At 46.0% G+C, this 13,921-nt stretch overlaps 1 protein-coding gene across 121 annotated transcripts in view; it reads left to right on the top strand.

Annotated features, from left to right (window-relative positions):
* CELF1 (CUGBP Elav-like family member 1) overlaps positions 1-12,613 on the top strand; it is a 99,603-nt gene extending 86,990 nt beyond the window's left edge. For 25 of the 121 annotated variants that reach the window (NM_001376393.1, XM_047426270.1, NM_001376423.1 and 22 more), the window contains 5 exons: positions 1,125-1,253; positions 1,591-1,704; positions 3,029-3,214; positions 5,319-5,462; positions 6,193-12,613. In NM_001376393.1, the coding sequence (NP_001363322.1) occupies positions 1,125-1,253; positions 1,591-1,704; positions 3,029-3,214; positions 5,319-5,462; positions 6,193-6,320 (701 nt within the window). In that variant the 3' untranslated portion in view covers positions 6,321-12,613. Of the gene's footprint in view, positions 1-1,124; positions 1,254-1,590; positions 1,705-3,028; positions 3,215-5,318; positions 5,463-6,172 lie in introns of all 121 variants that reach the window. The other 96 variants (NM_001376417.1, NM_001376450.1, NM_001376431.1 and 93 more) reach the window with 20 other exon arrangements.
* Positions 12,614-13,921: the final 1,308 nt, after the last annotated feature.

The following is a 13,921-nucleotide window of genomic DNA, read 5'->3' as shown; positions in this document are numbered from 1 at the left end:
CCATTATAAAGTGACTTTTCCAGTGACTGCAGAAAAGCCAAAGATGGCTTCCATGCAAATGCCCTACCTTGAAGCTTCTAGAACCCAGGCATTTGGTTTACCTGTGTATCTTCTTGTTTCTTAGGTGAATTCCTATTTTGTTGTTGCTATTATCGTACACAGAAAACTTAAATGGAGTGCCACAACAAACCTGAGCTAGGGCCCATCAGGAGTCGGTTGGGGGTAGGGCATGGGACAGCTTCAAAGCTGCCTGTGCCTACACCCTCTGCATTGGATTTAGGCTAGGCCAAATGTGCATTTGAGAAAGGCATAGTTTTCAGTGAACTGCATTTTGCTCTTTGAAAATTTTTGATAGTCATTCACTTTGTCTCAGGAAATTATAGTTGGCTATATTTTTGGAAAGTTGCTAGATTGTAATCTGTATTGTATTTTAATTCTCGTTTACTCTTTCCACTCCCCCCACCCCTCACCCCATCCATCTTTCCATTGTCTAGTAAATGGTTTGCAGCAGCGACAGCACAGTTTAGATTCCTTCTTCCCCTTTCAACTGTGTTGTCTGGGCTCTACTTGGAAGTCTTTCACTCAGTGATTTTTCCTCTCTCCTCTTTCTGGTGATGAATCTGCTATTCAAGTGACAGTGTCTTTATTCTTTGTGTCATTGCTGCTCTGCTGTGTTCTCCCTTGTTTGCTCCTGGGCCTTCTGCATCTGCCATGTTTTCTGCGTGTTCCCCTCTATTACAGAGAGCGAATCCCCTGTAAAGTGTGAGTGAGGGGCCTGGATGCAGTCCCATTCTGTGCTGTAGGTTTTGGCATTGTTCTCCTGTGCTCCTGGCCCTATGGTAGGCAGTTTTTCTTGGTTTCCTAATTGCCCACACCTTTATTAATGTACACTTGGCATGGTATGCTATTGGATTAGCCATCTCTTCTCTGAGGAAATGATTTCAAGTTTCTTAATGAGTGATACATGAATCATTTTTGGAGCCCTGTAATGTTGTTTGTAAGGCTTATCTAGAACAGTTCCTCTTTGTCAGGGACCAGCCCTCTGCCAGTGTGTGCTTGTCATTGCTGGAATGGATATGAAGCACCCTTATCTGCTGGCTAATCTCTTGCTTTGGATGTTGTAGGGTTGAATGCAATGCAGTTACAGAATTTGGCTGCACTAGCTGCTGCAGCTAGTGCAGCTCAGAACACACCAAGTGGTACCAATGCTCTCACTACATCCAGCAGTCCCCTCAGCGTGCTCACTAGTTCAGGTAAGCATGAGGATGACCCAGTGTGCCATTATGTGCCTTGGACAGATGCTTTGTGTTTAAAGGCAGAGTCCAGAGAGGGAAAATAGTTAACACCTGTTTCCAGAGAGGTCAGATTATGAGCAACAAATTTTCAAATGTCATCTTTTGTACTTAAGAGAAATCTTCCTGATTTTCAATGTGCTGTGGCCATTATTTGTCTCTGTCCTGCAAGGACAGTTGTTAGAATTAGTAACTGAAAACCTCTTTACAAATAGCATACTTGGATAGTGACACTTTTTCTTGTATTTGGCGAGAATGCCAGTGATGGGTTGAATTTTAACTCCTTGCTTTCTAATAGCAGGGTCCTCACCTAGCTCTAGCAGCAGTAATTCTGTCAACCCCATAGCCTCACTTGGAGCCCTGCAGACATTAGCTGGAGCAACGGCTGGCCTCAATGTTGGCTCTTTGGCAGGTAAGGGGCAGCACCTGGCTGTCATCAGACTATTCTTTGTGCAGGTAGCACATCTTAACCCTGGTAGGGGCACCACTGGAATGATTGCAGTGGCCCAGTGAAGTTAAAAATAATCATGAGGGCCAGGTGTGGTGGCTCACACCTCTAATCCCAGCACTTTGGGAGGTCAAGGTGGGCGAATCACGAGGTCAGGAGATCGAGACCATTCTGGCTAACACGGTGAAACCCCGTCTCCCCTAAAAATACAAAAAAATTAGCTGGGCCTGGTGGCGGGCGCCTGTAGTCCTAGCTACTTGGGAGGCTGAGGCAGGAGAATGGCATGAACCGGGGAGGCAGAAGTTGCAGTGAGCCAAGATTGCGCCACTGCACTCCAGCCTGGGTGACAGAGCGAGAGTCCGTCTCAAAAAAGCATGGGATTTTTAAATCAGACCTGAGTTAAATCCCACCTGTGTCCGTTAGCTAGCTATAACTTCGGACCACCTTTCTAAGGACATTTTCTCATCTTTGAAGTGGGAATAATAGAATACTTTGAAGGATTGTTAAAAATTAAATGAGGCCAGGTACAGTGGCTCATACCTATAGTCCCAGCAGTTTGGGAGGCCAAAGCAGGGGATCACCCTAGGTCACAAGTTCCAGACCAGCCTGAGCAACATAGTGAGAACTCCATCTCTACAAAAATTATCTGGGTGTAGTGGTGCATGCCTGTAGTCCCAGCTACTTGGGAGGCTGAGGCCGGGAGGATTGCTTGAGCCTGGGAGCTTGAGGCTGCAGTGAGCTATGATTGTACCACTGAACTCCAACCTAGGTGACAGAGTGAGACTCTGTCTCCAAAAAAAAAAAAAAAAATTAGAACATAGGTAAAGTGCTGCTGAGCACATTGCATAGTACAGTAGATGACACATAGAATGTACTTAGTACCTGTTAGTTGCTGTTTTAATGGTAGGGTTCACCCACATCTTGTCAGAAATCACATGTACCCCTTTGAGTTTGCAGTCTTGGGCCTCTTCTTTTATGACATTCTAGCTCATTATGAGAAAGTGGCAGAATAGCCAGATAGAAAATGGAGGCTCTCATTCCACAGATTGGATGAAGGTAATGGGGAGCACAACACCCGCGTATGGCATTTCTTAATGTCCCCATTAGCAAGGCCTGGTGAATGTCCTGAAATCTAGCCAGTCAGATAGTTTCTTCTCAGGGAGAAACTAAGAGGGAGATAAAGGGGAGAACTTTGGAGTTTTCCCTCTTCTAGATGTCCCAAGTAGACTTGTCTTTGGCATCAGTTTAGTCTTTCTAGTATATTAATCCTTCTCTTCCTCCAACCAAGGAATGGCTGCTTTAAATGGTGGCCTGGGCAGCAGTGGCCTTTCCAATGGCACCGGGAGCACCATGGAGGCCCTCACTCAGGCCTACTCGGGTATCCAGCAATATGCTGCTGCTGCGCTCCCCACTCTGTACAACCAGAATCTTCTGACACAGCAGAGTATTGGTGCTGCTGGAAGCCAGAAGGAAGGTGAGTGCAAAGGGAGATCGGGGTCAGGTATGGGGGGCGGTTTTCCTCCTATACCAGAACGGAAAGGCAGAGCAAAGGCTGAGGGAACCAGTTAGGTCGTCAGACCATTGTTTTTCTTTGACAGTGTCAAGTGTAGACTGAGAAACCCTGTGAAGTGTGATCTGCTTTTTAAATGTTTTCTGGATGTGGCTCAAATCAGAACCTCTGTGTGCCCTCTTGGGATGGGGCTGCAGTTTTTAGATGAAGCAACAGACACTGACCTTATCGGGTCTGACACATTTGACAAGAATGTTTCTGTTAGGAGGTCTTCTCTACAGATTACAAATCTATCAGAGGATCTTCTGTCTGGATGTCTTCTGTTTCAGTGTCCCTTTTAGCTATATCATTTGGCATTTTCCTCACTTTCTGATTGATGTTTGTCCTGATTGAAGACAAACTGAGGGGTGATGGGACAGAGTTTGGCCCATGAGTTGATGGAGTGGGAAGTATGTCGTTTGACACAAATGGTATTCAATTTAGGAGAAAAATAGGAGAGACTCTTTAGCCAGAAAGAGGCCTGAAGGTGACTTACATGAATAGAAGGTCCTGCTGACACCTCTGTGCTCAGATTTGACTGGGTTTTTATAACCAGGAGCTGGTATAAGCACTAATGTAGGAAAAAGATGAGTGTCCTCTTGTCACAGCAGAAAGTCCTGGTTCATCTCTCCTCACCTGCTGTGAATCACTTATATCCCCTAGGGATGTGGTAGTAGGAGAATGTAGCGTGAACCAATATTTTAGTGGAGACTGTGGAGACAGACAATAAATAAATGAAAGCATGAGGTGTTTCAGATGATCCTCTGGAGAATGACAAGCCGGGAAGAGAGATAGGGAGTGTCAGAGGCACTGCATTTTATGCAGAATGCTCAGAGAATGTCTCTCTAGATTGACATTTAAGCAGAGAACTGAAGGAAGTAGGAAGCAAGTCATGCCTGAATCTAGAGAAAGAAGAGTAACAGGGGCATAGGAAAAGCAAGTACAGAGGCCCTGAGGCAGCAATGTTCCCTGATGTGTTTGAAAAAAACAGGGAGGCCAGGGTGGCTGGAGAATGGCTGGACTGCAATTGTAATAAAGCTTTTTGGTTAGAAAATCATTGAGTAGGCTGGGCGCAGTGGCTCGCGCCTGTAATCCCAGCACTTTGAGAGGCCAAGGCAGGCAGATCATGAGATCAGGAGTTCGAGACCAGCCTGACCAACATGGTGAAACCCCATCGCTACTAAAAATACGCCAGGCATGGTGGCGCCTGCCTGTAATCCCAGCTACTCGGGAGGCTGAGGCAGGAGAATTGCTTGAACCCGGGAGGCGGAGGTTGCAGTGACCTGAGTTCACGCCACTGCACTCCAACCTGGGCAACAGAGTGAGCCTCTATCTCAAAAAAAAAGAAAGAAAAAAAAAGAAAATCATTGAGTGTAAATAGTCAGATGAAGAATGTATATTCTGTTTTTAAGCTCAGTGTTAATCATGGGTGCATTTTTAAAACTAATTTCTTATTTTCCCATTTACATATGATGAAACTCACTGATTTTGGCATACAGCTATATGAGTATTGACAAACAGTCCTAGTCCTGCAACCATCACCACAGATTAGGAACATTTCCATCACCCCTAGAAATTCCCTCGTGCCCCTTTGTAGTCATTCCCTGCATCTGGCAACTACCAATCTGTTTGCTGTCCCTGTGGTTTCTAGGCATTATTTGGAAACCTGTTTTGTTTATAACCCCTTTTCACCTCCTCTTCTGTGTTCCTCTCTGAGCCTACAGTCTCTGTTTTCCTGCTCCACACACAAGTCGGCCTGCTTTATTATCCCAACACTCCTCCTCCTGCGGGTAGAATTTCTCACATCCTCAATGAGATGGAGCTTGGCTGAATGTGAGGGAAGGAATCTGTTTTAATGTTTGCCTTTGGTTCCTTGCTTTGTATTTAGAGAATCTGTTTAGTTCCCCAGATGAATCTCTGTTTTTAGGGATTGTGACAGTTTTAACATAGGTGGAAATGAAAGATCACTGGTGCAGGGCGACGAGCATGTTTGACACTGATACTTTTCCAATTCCTGGGTATTTTGAAGGTCCAGAGGGAGCCAACCTGTTCATCTACCACCTGCCCCAGGAGTTTGGTGATCAGGACCTGCTGCAGATGTTTATGCCCTTTGGGAATGTCGTGTCTGCCAAGGTTTTCATAGACAAGCAGACAAACCTGAGCAAGTGTTTTGGTATGTTGGCTTCTCTCTGGTGTCAGGATGGGATTAGTATTTTACCACTGAGAAAGAAGGAGCTCACTGCAGAAAGATCTGAATATGAGTTTGTGGTGTTGTTTTAACTTGGCCATGGGCAGGTCATTATGACCTCTTTTTGAGCCCCAGTTTCTCATTGCTGTAGTGGAGGTAAGGATTTCTACCCACACTGTTGCTCCAGAGAGAAAAATAATATATGGAAAATGGTTTGCAAAAAAACCTTTAAACAGTCCAGGTTTGTGCCTGTAAGTCCCAGTACTTGGGGAGGCCAAGGCAGGAGGATCGCTTGAGCCTAGGAGTTCGAGACCAGCCTGAGCAACAGAGTGAGACCTCATGGCTACAAAAAATTAGTCAGACGTGGTGGCGTGTACCTGTGTTCCCAGCTACTTGAGGCTGAGGTGAGAGGATCACCTGAGCCCAGGAGGCCAAGGTTGCAGTGAACCATGGTCACACCACTGTACTCCACCCTGGGTGACAGAGCAAGACCCTGTCTCAAGAAAAAGAAAAAAACCTTTAAATTACCATGTAGCTGTTAAGTGGTACTATTAAGAACCTAATTTATTTCGTATGACATAATGTCCAGATTTCTTGTCCCTGCTGAATAAAATTGGGATTTGAGATGAAGCACATAAGGTATCTTGCATAAGGAGGACTGAGAATCTCCTTGCCTCATTATGTCCCTCACCTAGGTTTCTGCTTGGACACACAGGTTTTGTAAGTTACGACAATCCTGTTTCGGCCCAAGCTGCCATCCAGTCCATGAACGGCTTTCAGATTGGCATGAAGCGGCTTAAAGTGCAGCTCAAACGTTCGAAGAATGACAGCAAGCCCTACTGAGCGTGCTCCCCTCTGAGACTGGAGTGAGAGGGTCTTCTGGTAAGTGGGGGAGGAGCACCCTTAATGATTCGAAGCCCTGAGGCTGTGTGTTGACAGCCCTGGACCCTGATCCCTGCCACTCTCGCAGGCACAGCTTGCCCTGAAGACTCGGCTACTGCCTTCTGTGGGAGTTTCGCTTCGTACAGAGGACAAGTTTGTGCTTTGGTTTCCAGTGTTTTACTTTGGAGTTTAGGTGCCATATCCTGAGGTTTTTTTTGTTTTTGTTTTTGTTTCTCCTTTATTTAAAGTTTGCTGTGTTTGTAACCAGTGTGTGTTGAGAAGGACCAACACCAAACCACCCTGGGGAAGGGGGACAGGGAAACATTTAACACAGACGATGATCAGGATTTGCCCCAAACCACCCCAAGAGAGAGGACTGAGTGGAACAAAAAAGTGACCCCCAGAACCTCTCTTAGTGTGAGGGTGGGTAGAATGAGAACTGACACCTGGGAGCTGTGGGGAGCAGAGCGGCTTTGGGGAAGAGTGGAGTGACTAGACACCTAATGCCCTGGCAGCTGGAGACTCAAACTCCTGTACAGCTACCTTCTGGGAAATAGTTTTTGACACCTATTTTTCAGATTCTTGTCCGGAATTTCTGCTGCTCTTTTCAAAAAAGGGCATTAACAATTCTCTGGAAATAAAGCACCTGTTAGCCTGACATATGCAAAAAGCAGGGCGGCATCACCCATTACGAGCTCCCCCAGCCAGCAGTCAGTATTGGATTGGCCTTGCCTGGCTGGTGGCAGTTTGGGAGAAACAGCCAAAGAGGTTAGTTTATTTCAACACCAAATTAGACCATGGCCCATTTCCAACGGGTCTCTTTAAAGGCCTCTATGGAATACATTGCCTGGTTTCCTTCTTTGCAGTTCACCACAGCAAGGAATGTCACCTCCATCCCAAGCCACCATTTTCTCATGAAGGCAAATCCAAGAAGGGCTTGCAGTTCTTGCTGAAGGGGGTACCATTTGTGGGCAGAGTGATCAATACCATCTAGTTGGGGGAGGAGGAGCTTATTTCTTGGTGTACTTGAATCAGAAGGTCCCTGCAAGCCAGTATGCTTCATTTGCCAGTGGCCAGAAATTCTCCCTTGCCTCCTTGATTGAGGTGTCCCAGATGTAGTATTCCCACAGGGGTCTGGCAGGCCCCTCCTGTAACCACTCCAGTCACATTTTCTGCTCTTGAGGCAGAGGTGACATCAGGACGTTTACAGCCTCCACATGAATTGAGTGTTCATTTACCTCAGTATTACCGTGTTCATTTTTGTCCTCGTGCTACAGTTAGCTCCCTGCCGCCTCTTGCAGGTCTTACTTCAGCTCTTGCCTGTGACCCACACAGCTTCTGGGCTCTGCCTCTGCTCTAAGAAGTGCTGTGGGGGTAGAGAACCAGGAAGGACATGCTGTTGGGAATGTACACCTGGGCAGAGGTGGCCCTGTTAAGATGTGACTGTAGCCACAGCCAGGGATGGGATCCCTGGGTCTCTGGAATCTGAAACCTCAACAAATACCAGTCTTGACCCCTAGCAGCAGAGATAAGAATAAAGGGGTTGGTTTGCTATTAAGTCAGATGGGGGCTCTCTCCTTGTCATGCTGTCCCTGTGGGTAACAGACAGGGATTGACCATCTTACTGTTGTACAGGTAGCTGGTGGTGTTGGATTATCCCATTGAAGCTGGGACAGCTGTTCCTTTCTCATAGTGATAACTTGGGTCTGTTGTCCTCTAAGGAACGTGAAACATACACTTCTTAAGCTGAACCACGTAAACTTGAAATTCTGCGCACTGGGAGAAATGTGTCCTGTGTTTCAAAGGATAAAACTGTTCTAAAGGCTTCCAGGGTCATGATGGGATTTTTTAAATAAATGCAAAAAATAAAAATAAAAAAGAAAAAAGAAAACAAAAAAAAAAAAGAAAAAAATGCTAGGTTGGGGAGGCGCTGTTCTGAATCCCAACCGGCTGGAACCAAGAATGTCGTTTCTATTTTTATAGAAGTTTTATACAGCTCCGGGGTGGAGAATATTTATTACCTAAATTATATCTCTGGAAAAGGCCAGGATTTTGTAGAATCCAGAATGTGATTGTTATACACACAGGGTGCTGTGTATGATTGAAACTACTGACTTTCTGTGGCCCGTTTGCAGCCCAGCTAACCTGCCCAAGGGGAAGGTGTTAATGCTGTGAATTGGCAGAGGAGAGAGCTGTGCTCCATAGGGTGCTGCCGGTGCTGTGCTCCCTAGCCTTCTGTTCTGTCTTCCTCCTTAGCCAGAACGCCACTCCCTTCCCACATCCCCTTCTTCTCTCCGCCTTCCCCCATCTCACCATTATTTGTCCATGGATTTGTCCTGGGCTCTGGGACCTTATGAAACCCCTTTCCTAATGACATAAGAGGCCAAGGTGCAATCCACCCACCTTTGATACCAGACCCTGAGGGCTTCATACCTGCTGATGGGTTTTCTTTTCTAAAAGGAATGCTCGCCCCAGCAGGGTCCTGGGCTGCTTGAGCAGCCAGCTGGTGAGACCATGCACTTCTCTGTTCTCTCCTCCCCCTGCCCAGTGAGTTAGCACAGCAGTAGCACTGCCCTTGAGCACAGTTCTTTCCCCAGGCCAAAGATGGTTTTGTGAAGAAGCTGCTCCCCTACAAGTCTCACGTGTGAAAGGGCTCAGCTCAGAGTGGAGACTCGCTGTCAAGTCTTAAGCAATCCTTTTCTGTTGTGTGAAGGTTTCACTTACAATGTGTTTTCTGCTGTAGTTTTGTTTCTTACTTGGGTTACATCATGAAATTGATTTGCCTTGAATGCAGCCAGACCACTGTCTCCTGGGTTCCCCTTGAGTGGCCAGGGCCTGGATGGAAGCTAAGAGCTTGGATTTCTGGGAACAAAGGGCCATCCCCATAAGATTGAGCAGAAATTCTGGTCCTCTTCCCTGAAAAATTTTCCCCACCCCAGCCAGCATCTTCTGCTTCCCCTTGGGTTGTGACCAGGGAGTGGGGAGAGAGGCTGAGGCTCTGCTCCCCTGGAGACCTTCTCTTAGGAGTTGGGTGCTTCATGGAAAATCCAAGCCTTAGGTTCCCTTCTGTCTCTGGCAATTAGATGTGTTCTTGGTGTCCTCCATGTCCTTTTTGACTTTTCCCTGTGTCCATTGTTAGCATGTGCAAAAGTTCCCTGTCATTACCCAACCCCTGCCCGCCCACCTCATTTCAGGGCTGTACACACAGTGAGTGTTCCTGTTCTCTCTCTCTTTGTTTGGATGTATTGCTCTGTGTAACTCAGTGGGTCTCCCTCTTTCTGGTTTGTTTTTTTTTCTAGATTCCTGCCGTTTGTTCATCGTTGTGCCTAAAGCATGTCGATGTGGCGTCAAGTACATCGTCCAAATCCCTGTCTCTTCAGCTTCTCTGATGCTTGAACTCTCACCTTTGACCTTGTGTTGACCTTTGATGCTGATGTGTATTTTTATTATGTTTGTTTCTTTCTTCGTTTTTTTTTCTTTTTTTCTTTCCTTTTTTTTTCCTTTTGTGCTGCCAAATTGGTTTTGCTAGAACGACTGCTGAAGGGGAAATATTTAAACTTGCATTTGAATATAAAAAAAATCTATTTTTCTAGAACTTCATAAGATAACCACTTGATTTTGTGATTCCAATTCTTTGTAATTGTCTTCAGAGCAGCCCTACTAGCACATACCGCGTGGTGTTTGTATTTCTGTGAACACACAGCCAGTCCGTTTCTAGGCTTTGTTTCTCTGTGTGCTTAGTTTTAAAGACAACTTTGAAGTAAACAATGAAATAAAAGATGTCACTAAAACCTCTGAGGCTCCTGAGCACATTTTGCTGATACAGTCTGTGGGGCTTGAGGAGACCGCATGTATTGTTCTTTCTTTTGTTTTTCTTCTGAGTTCTCAACTGCGGAGAGCACCTGAACCCCCTTTCCTTTTTGACCGCAGGCTGCACTTTGGGCCCCAGCCAGCCCTTTTTCTTTTTCTTTTTCTTTTGTGGTTCTTCCCTGGAGCGACTCTGGGGAGTCCTGGATATCCCGCCTGCCCCTTCCCCTCAGCCCCATGCTTGTTCCAACAGTCTCCACAGCAAAATGTGATGCTTTGATTTTTTTGTTGTTGTTTTTGTTTTTGTATTGTTTTTGTGTTTTTGTTTTGAATTTTTTCCTTTCCTACTAAGATTATGCCCAGAAAAAAGTTTTGCATGTTTCCTGCTGTTTCTTCACACCTTCGTATATATCACCTTCACCTCTCTGTTTTCTATAGTTTGTGCAAAAACTGATCGATTTAAAAGGGTTTCAAAGAAGCTGTTTTAAATTGTTGTAGGGTTGATTATTTTTTTCAAGATTGTATTGTTTAATTTTGAAGTGGCAACTTTCTCCTCTATTGCCCTTAGAGCGTTTGCCTGTGCACTTAGACTGTCACTTCGTGTGGCCTCCAGGTCTTACCGGGGCTTCCGGGAGGCTGGCTGCTTTGCTCAGAGAGGGTGGGAAGGGGGCCTGGAGAGACACGAGAAGCAGAGGTAGAGCCTAGAAGGTGGCAGCAGGTGGGTAAGAGGCTTATTTAGCACATTAGGGGCAGTGAGCACCTGGAGGAAGGAGGGCGCTCCCAATCACCCGTAGGAGGCCATCTGCACACCAAGCGGCAATTCACCTGCTGGCGCTTTTCCTAGGTGACAAGCACAATACTACAGTCTTCACACTGTTTACAGCCCTGGGCACCAGCCACCCGGCACTGGCTCTTCATCACAGCTCTGCTCTTGCTTAGCTAGTGGGGTGGGGGAAAGGGCAGGGATTTGTTTTTTTAATTGGGTGGAGAGCCAAACAGCTACTGTCCCTGGGTGCCAAGCAAGCCAGTTTTTTGGTTCCCTGAGGGAAACTGACCCTCCTCTCTTGTGGCACCATCCAGCCTCAGGGTCTTGGAGACTTGAGTAAGAATGTGAGTGGAGGGGGAGAGGTGAGGAGAGGAGCACAGGGTGGATCTGTGGAGGGAAGAGGTTACAGGGGGAGGAGCTGATGATAGATCCCACCCAGACTTAAGCTGCTGGTGGGTGGGTGAGCTGGGAAGTAGGACTGTCCAGGGAAGGGTGGAGAGATGTAGCTAGGGGCTGGGGAGGGGGAGGTGGAAGCGCTATTGAGCATCCTCCACACCAAGGTTGATGAAGGAAGGGATCCCAGCAGGGTTTCTGCTCTGGGGCTGGCAGGTTGCCTGGTATTATGCCCAAGGCCGCTCTGCCTGGGGGAAAGGGCAGCCAGGCAGAGGCCCAGTGTCTGGTAGGCTGCTGAATTTCCTGGAAGGGGTGATTGGATGGAAAGAGGCCAGAAACCCCAGCCTGAGAGACTGCTGTGCACCCCACAGTCTGACTGCACAGAGCCGCCTCTGTTGGCAGGAGGCACTGAGGCTCCCCTTCCTGTGTATTGAGAAGCAGTGTTTGCCAATATATTTTGCTTTCAATTCCAAGAGGAGCTCTGGGAAAACCTGTGGATAAAACCAAATGCCAAATGTTGGACGTTGTTTCCTTTTCCTTTTCTCTCTCTGATTGTTTTAATTGTTCTGTGGTGGTTTTAATGGATTTGAGACCCTGGAGCGGCAGCTGCCTTTCTGATTTCCAGCTGCTTTTTGTGAATAATTTAAAAAGAAAAAAAAAAAGAAACTTTACATTTTGGAGACAAACCTGTGTGAGTTTTTTATTGGTACAAACGTTGTATTTAACACTAGGGGTTTTGTACAGTTTTTTGCCTTTTCTACTAGAAAACAATGTAAAGTGATTTCACAATGTGAAGAGAAAAAAAAATTGCCACTATGACCAAACGCACAGTCTGTTCTGCAGCAACAACGGGATTCAATCAACTCAGTCGTGATTCAGCCGTAGAAATGCTTTTCCTTTATCTTGTTTGAGCTTTTCCTTTCTTTCCTGTTTTGATTTGCAAAAGAAAATGTCTTTTTTGTGTGAACTTGTGTTGTACTCTGTAGAAAATTATGGATTTTACTTTAATGGTTTAAAAAAAGGCAAGGAGAGCCCTCGTCGCTTTTCTTACCTAATCACAGAGTTTGTGTAGTGAATTTAAAAAGAAAAAAAAATTGTTATAAGTTTGGAGCAAGGGAGTATGTGTTTCAAAGGAATCTCCTTCCTTTTTTTGTGTGTTTTTCCTTTTGTCCCAATGGGGAACCTAAATCTGTTTTAATTGCACAGACACATGGACAAAAAGTCATTTTGTATCTGCCAAGTGTGGTACCTTCCTTTGTTTATTTGCTATTAAACTGTTTGAGAAGAACTGATGTCTTCAGAGTTACTGATTGTTGGGGAGGGTGATGTGTCCTTGGAGCAGGTGGGGTTGCCATGTTCCTGAAGAGGGGGTGTGGGTGCCCTATAAGGCTTCATTTTTATGTACCTGAAGATGTGCAGCTGAACCCCCCAAAAGCTCCGGAAGGAAAACATAATTTCTCCCCAGAAAACTGCCTTCCCCATCTTTTTGTATTCTCCAGGATTTCTACTTATGCGGAAACACCTTAAAACTTTTTTGCCCACCCTAATTTTTGAGCATCTCCTGTTCTCCTTGGCTGCCACAAAACAGAGCTGGTCCAGACCTGCCAGTGCACATCTCTTCCCTAGTGCGCAGAGTCCCTGCTCCCTAGGACTCTGCTGGCCAGCACCAAATCCCAGAGCCCCGGCAGTCTTCCTCCCTCCAGACCTTTAAAGCTCTGGCCCAAAGTTCTTAAGCTTCTACTTCCCTCACTCTGACCTCAGTACAAGGCCCCTGAATGGCATGCTTCTAAGGCTCTGTGGACTACTCAATAGTGCTGGATGGACCAGGCCTCAGCCTTCTCCTACATGTCCCTCTATGTGGAGTGGGTCTTGGGTAGCATTTCTCAGTGAGGGTTGCATTGAGTACTAGACCATGATATGTTCTATGAAATAAGGATTCTTAACACAAATAAGTTTGTGAATGTTGTCCCTGCAATAAAGAATGTTCTCTCTGAAATTAGGCAGTAAAGAAGCCTCAGACTTGATTTAGCCAAGCGTCTCCCAGACTGGGGATCCCTTTTGCTGTCCACTTGTTCTCAAAAACAAGTGGCAGCTTGGGGGTTTTAGATTTTGTCTACCAAGTTCTGCATTTGGGTGTTCCTTTGTTCACGTCCCCATTTTTATTCATTAAAAATGTTTAAAAATCAGAACTTATATGCAAATAATTATCCTAGCTAATGTTGATTGTTTACCACCATCAGGCGCTGCAGGATACACATGATACCCACTACATGTTCCAGGCTTCATAGCATCCCTAGGAGGTAGCTAGTTTTCCCATCCTCGTTTTACAGATGAGCAAACAGGTTAAAAGAAATTGGGTTGCCTGCTAGAAAGTGGTGTGCACTGGGAATCAAACCACATTGCCCAACTCCTGAGCCCTTTCTCCTAACCACTACTGAATAGAAAGAATTCAAAAGCCAATAAATGTGCTTTAATTAACCTGTGTCTCATCACAGATTGATTGCTCTCTGTCCTCTAGGCCCCAGTGAGAGGAGCTTAGAGGACCTATGGCTTTTGTGGCTCCCCTGGGAGGTGACTCATTGCAGCTGCGCCCTCC

This window comes from Homo sapiens, chromosome 11, assembly GCF_000001405.40.
Source record: "Homo sapiens chromosome 11, GRCh38.p14 Primary Assembly".
NCBI classification, from domain to species: domain Eukaryota; kingdom Metazoa; phylum Chordata; class Mammalia; order Primates; family Hominidae; genus Homo; species Homo sapiens.
Note: the sequence above shows the minus strand (reverse complement) of the source record. Positions and strands in the feature narration are given on the sequence as shown.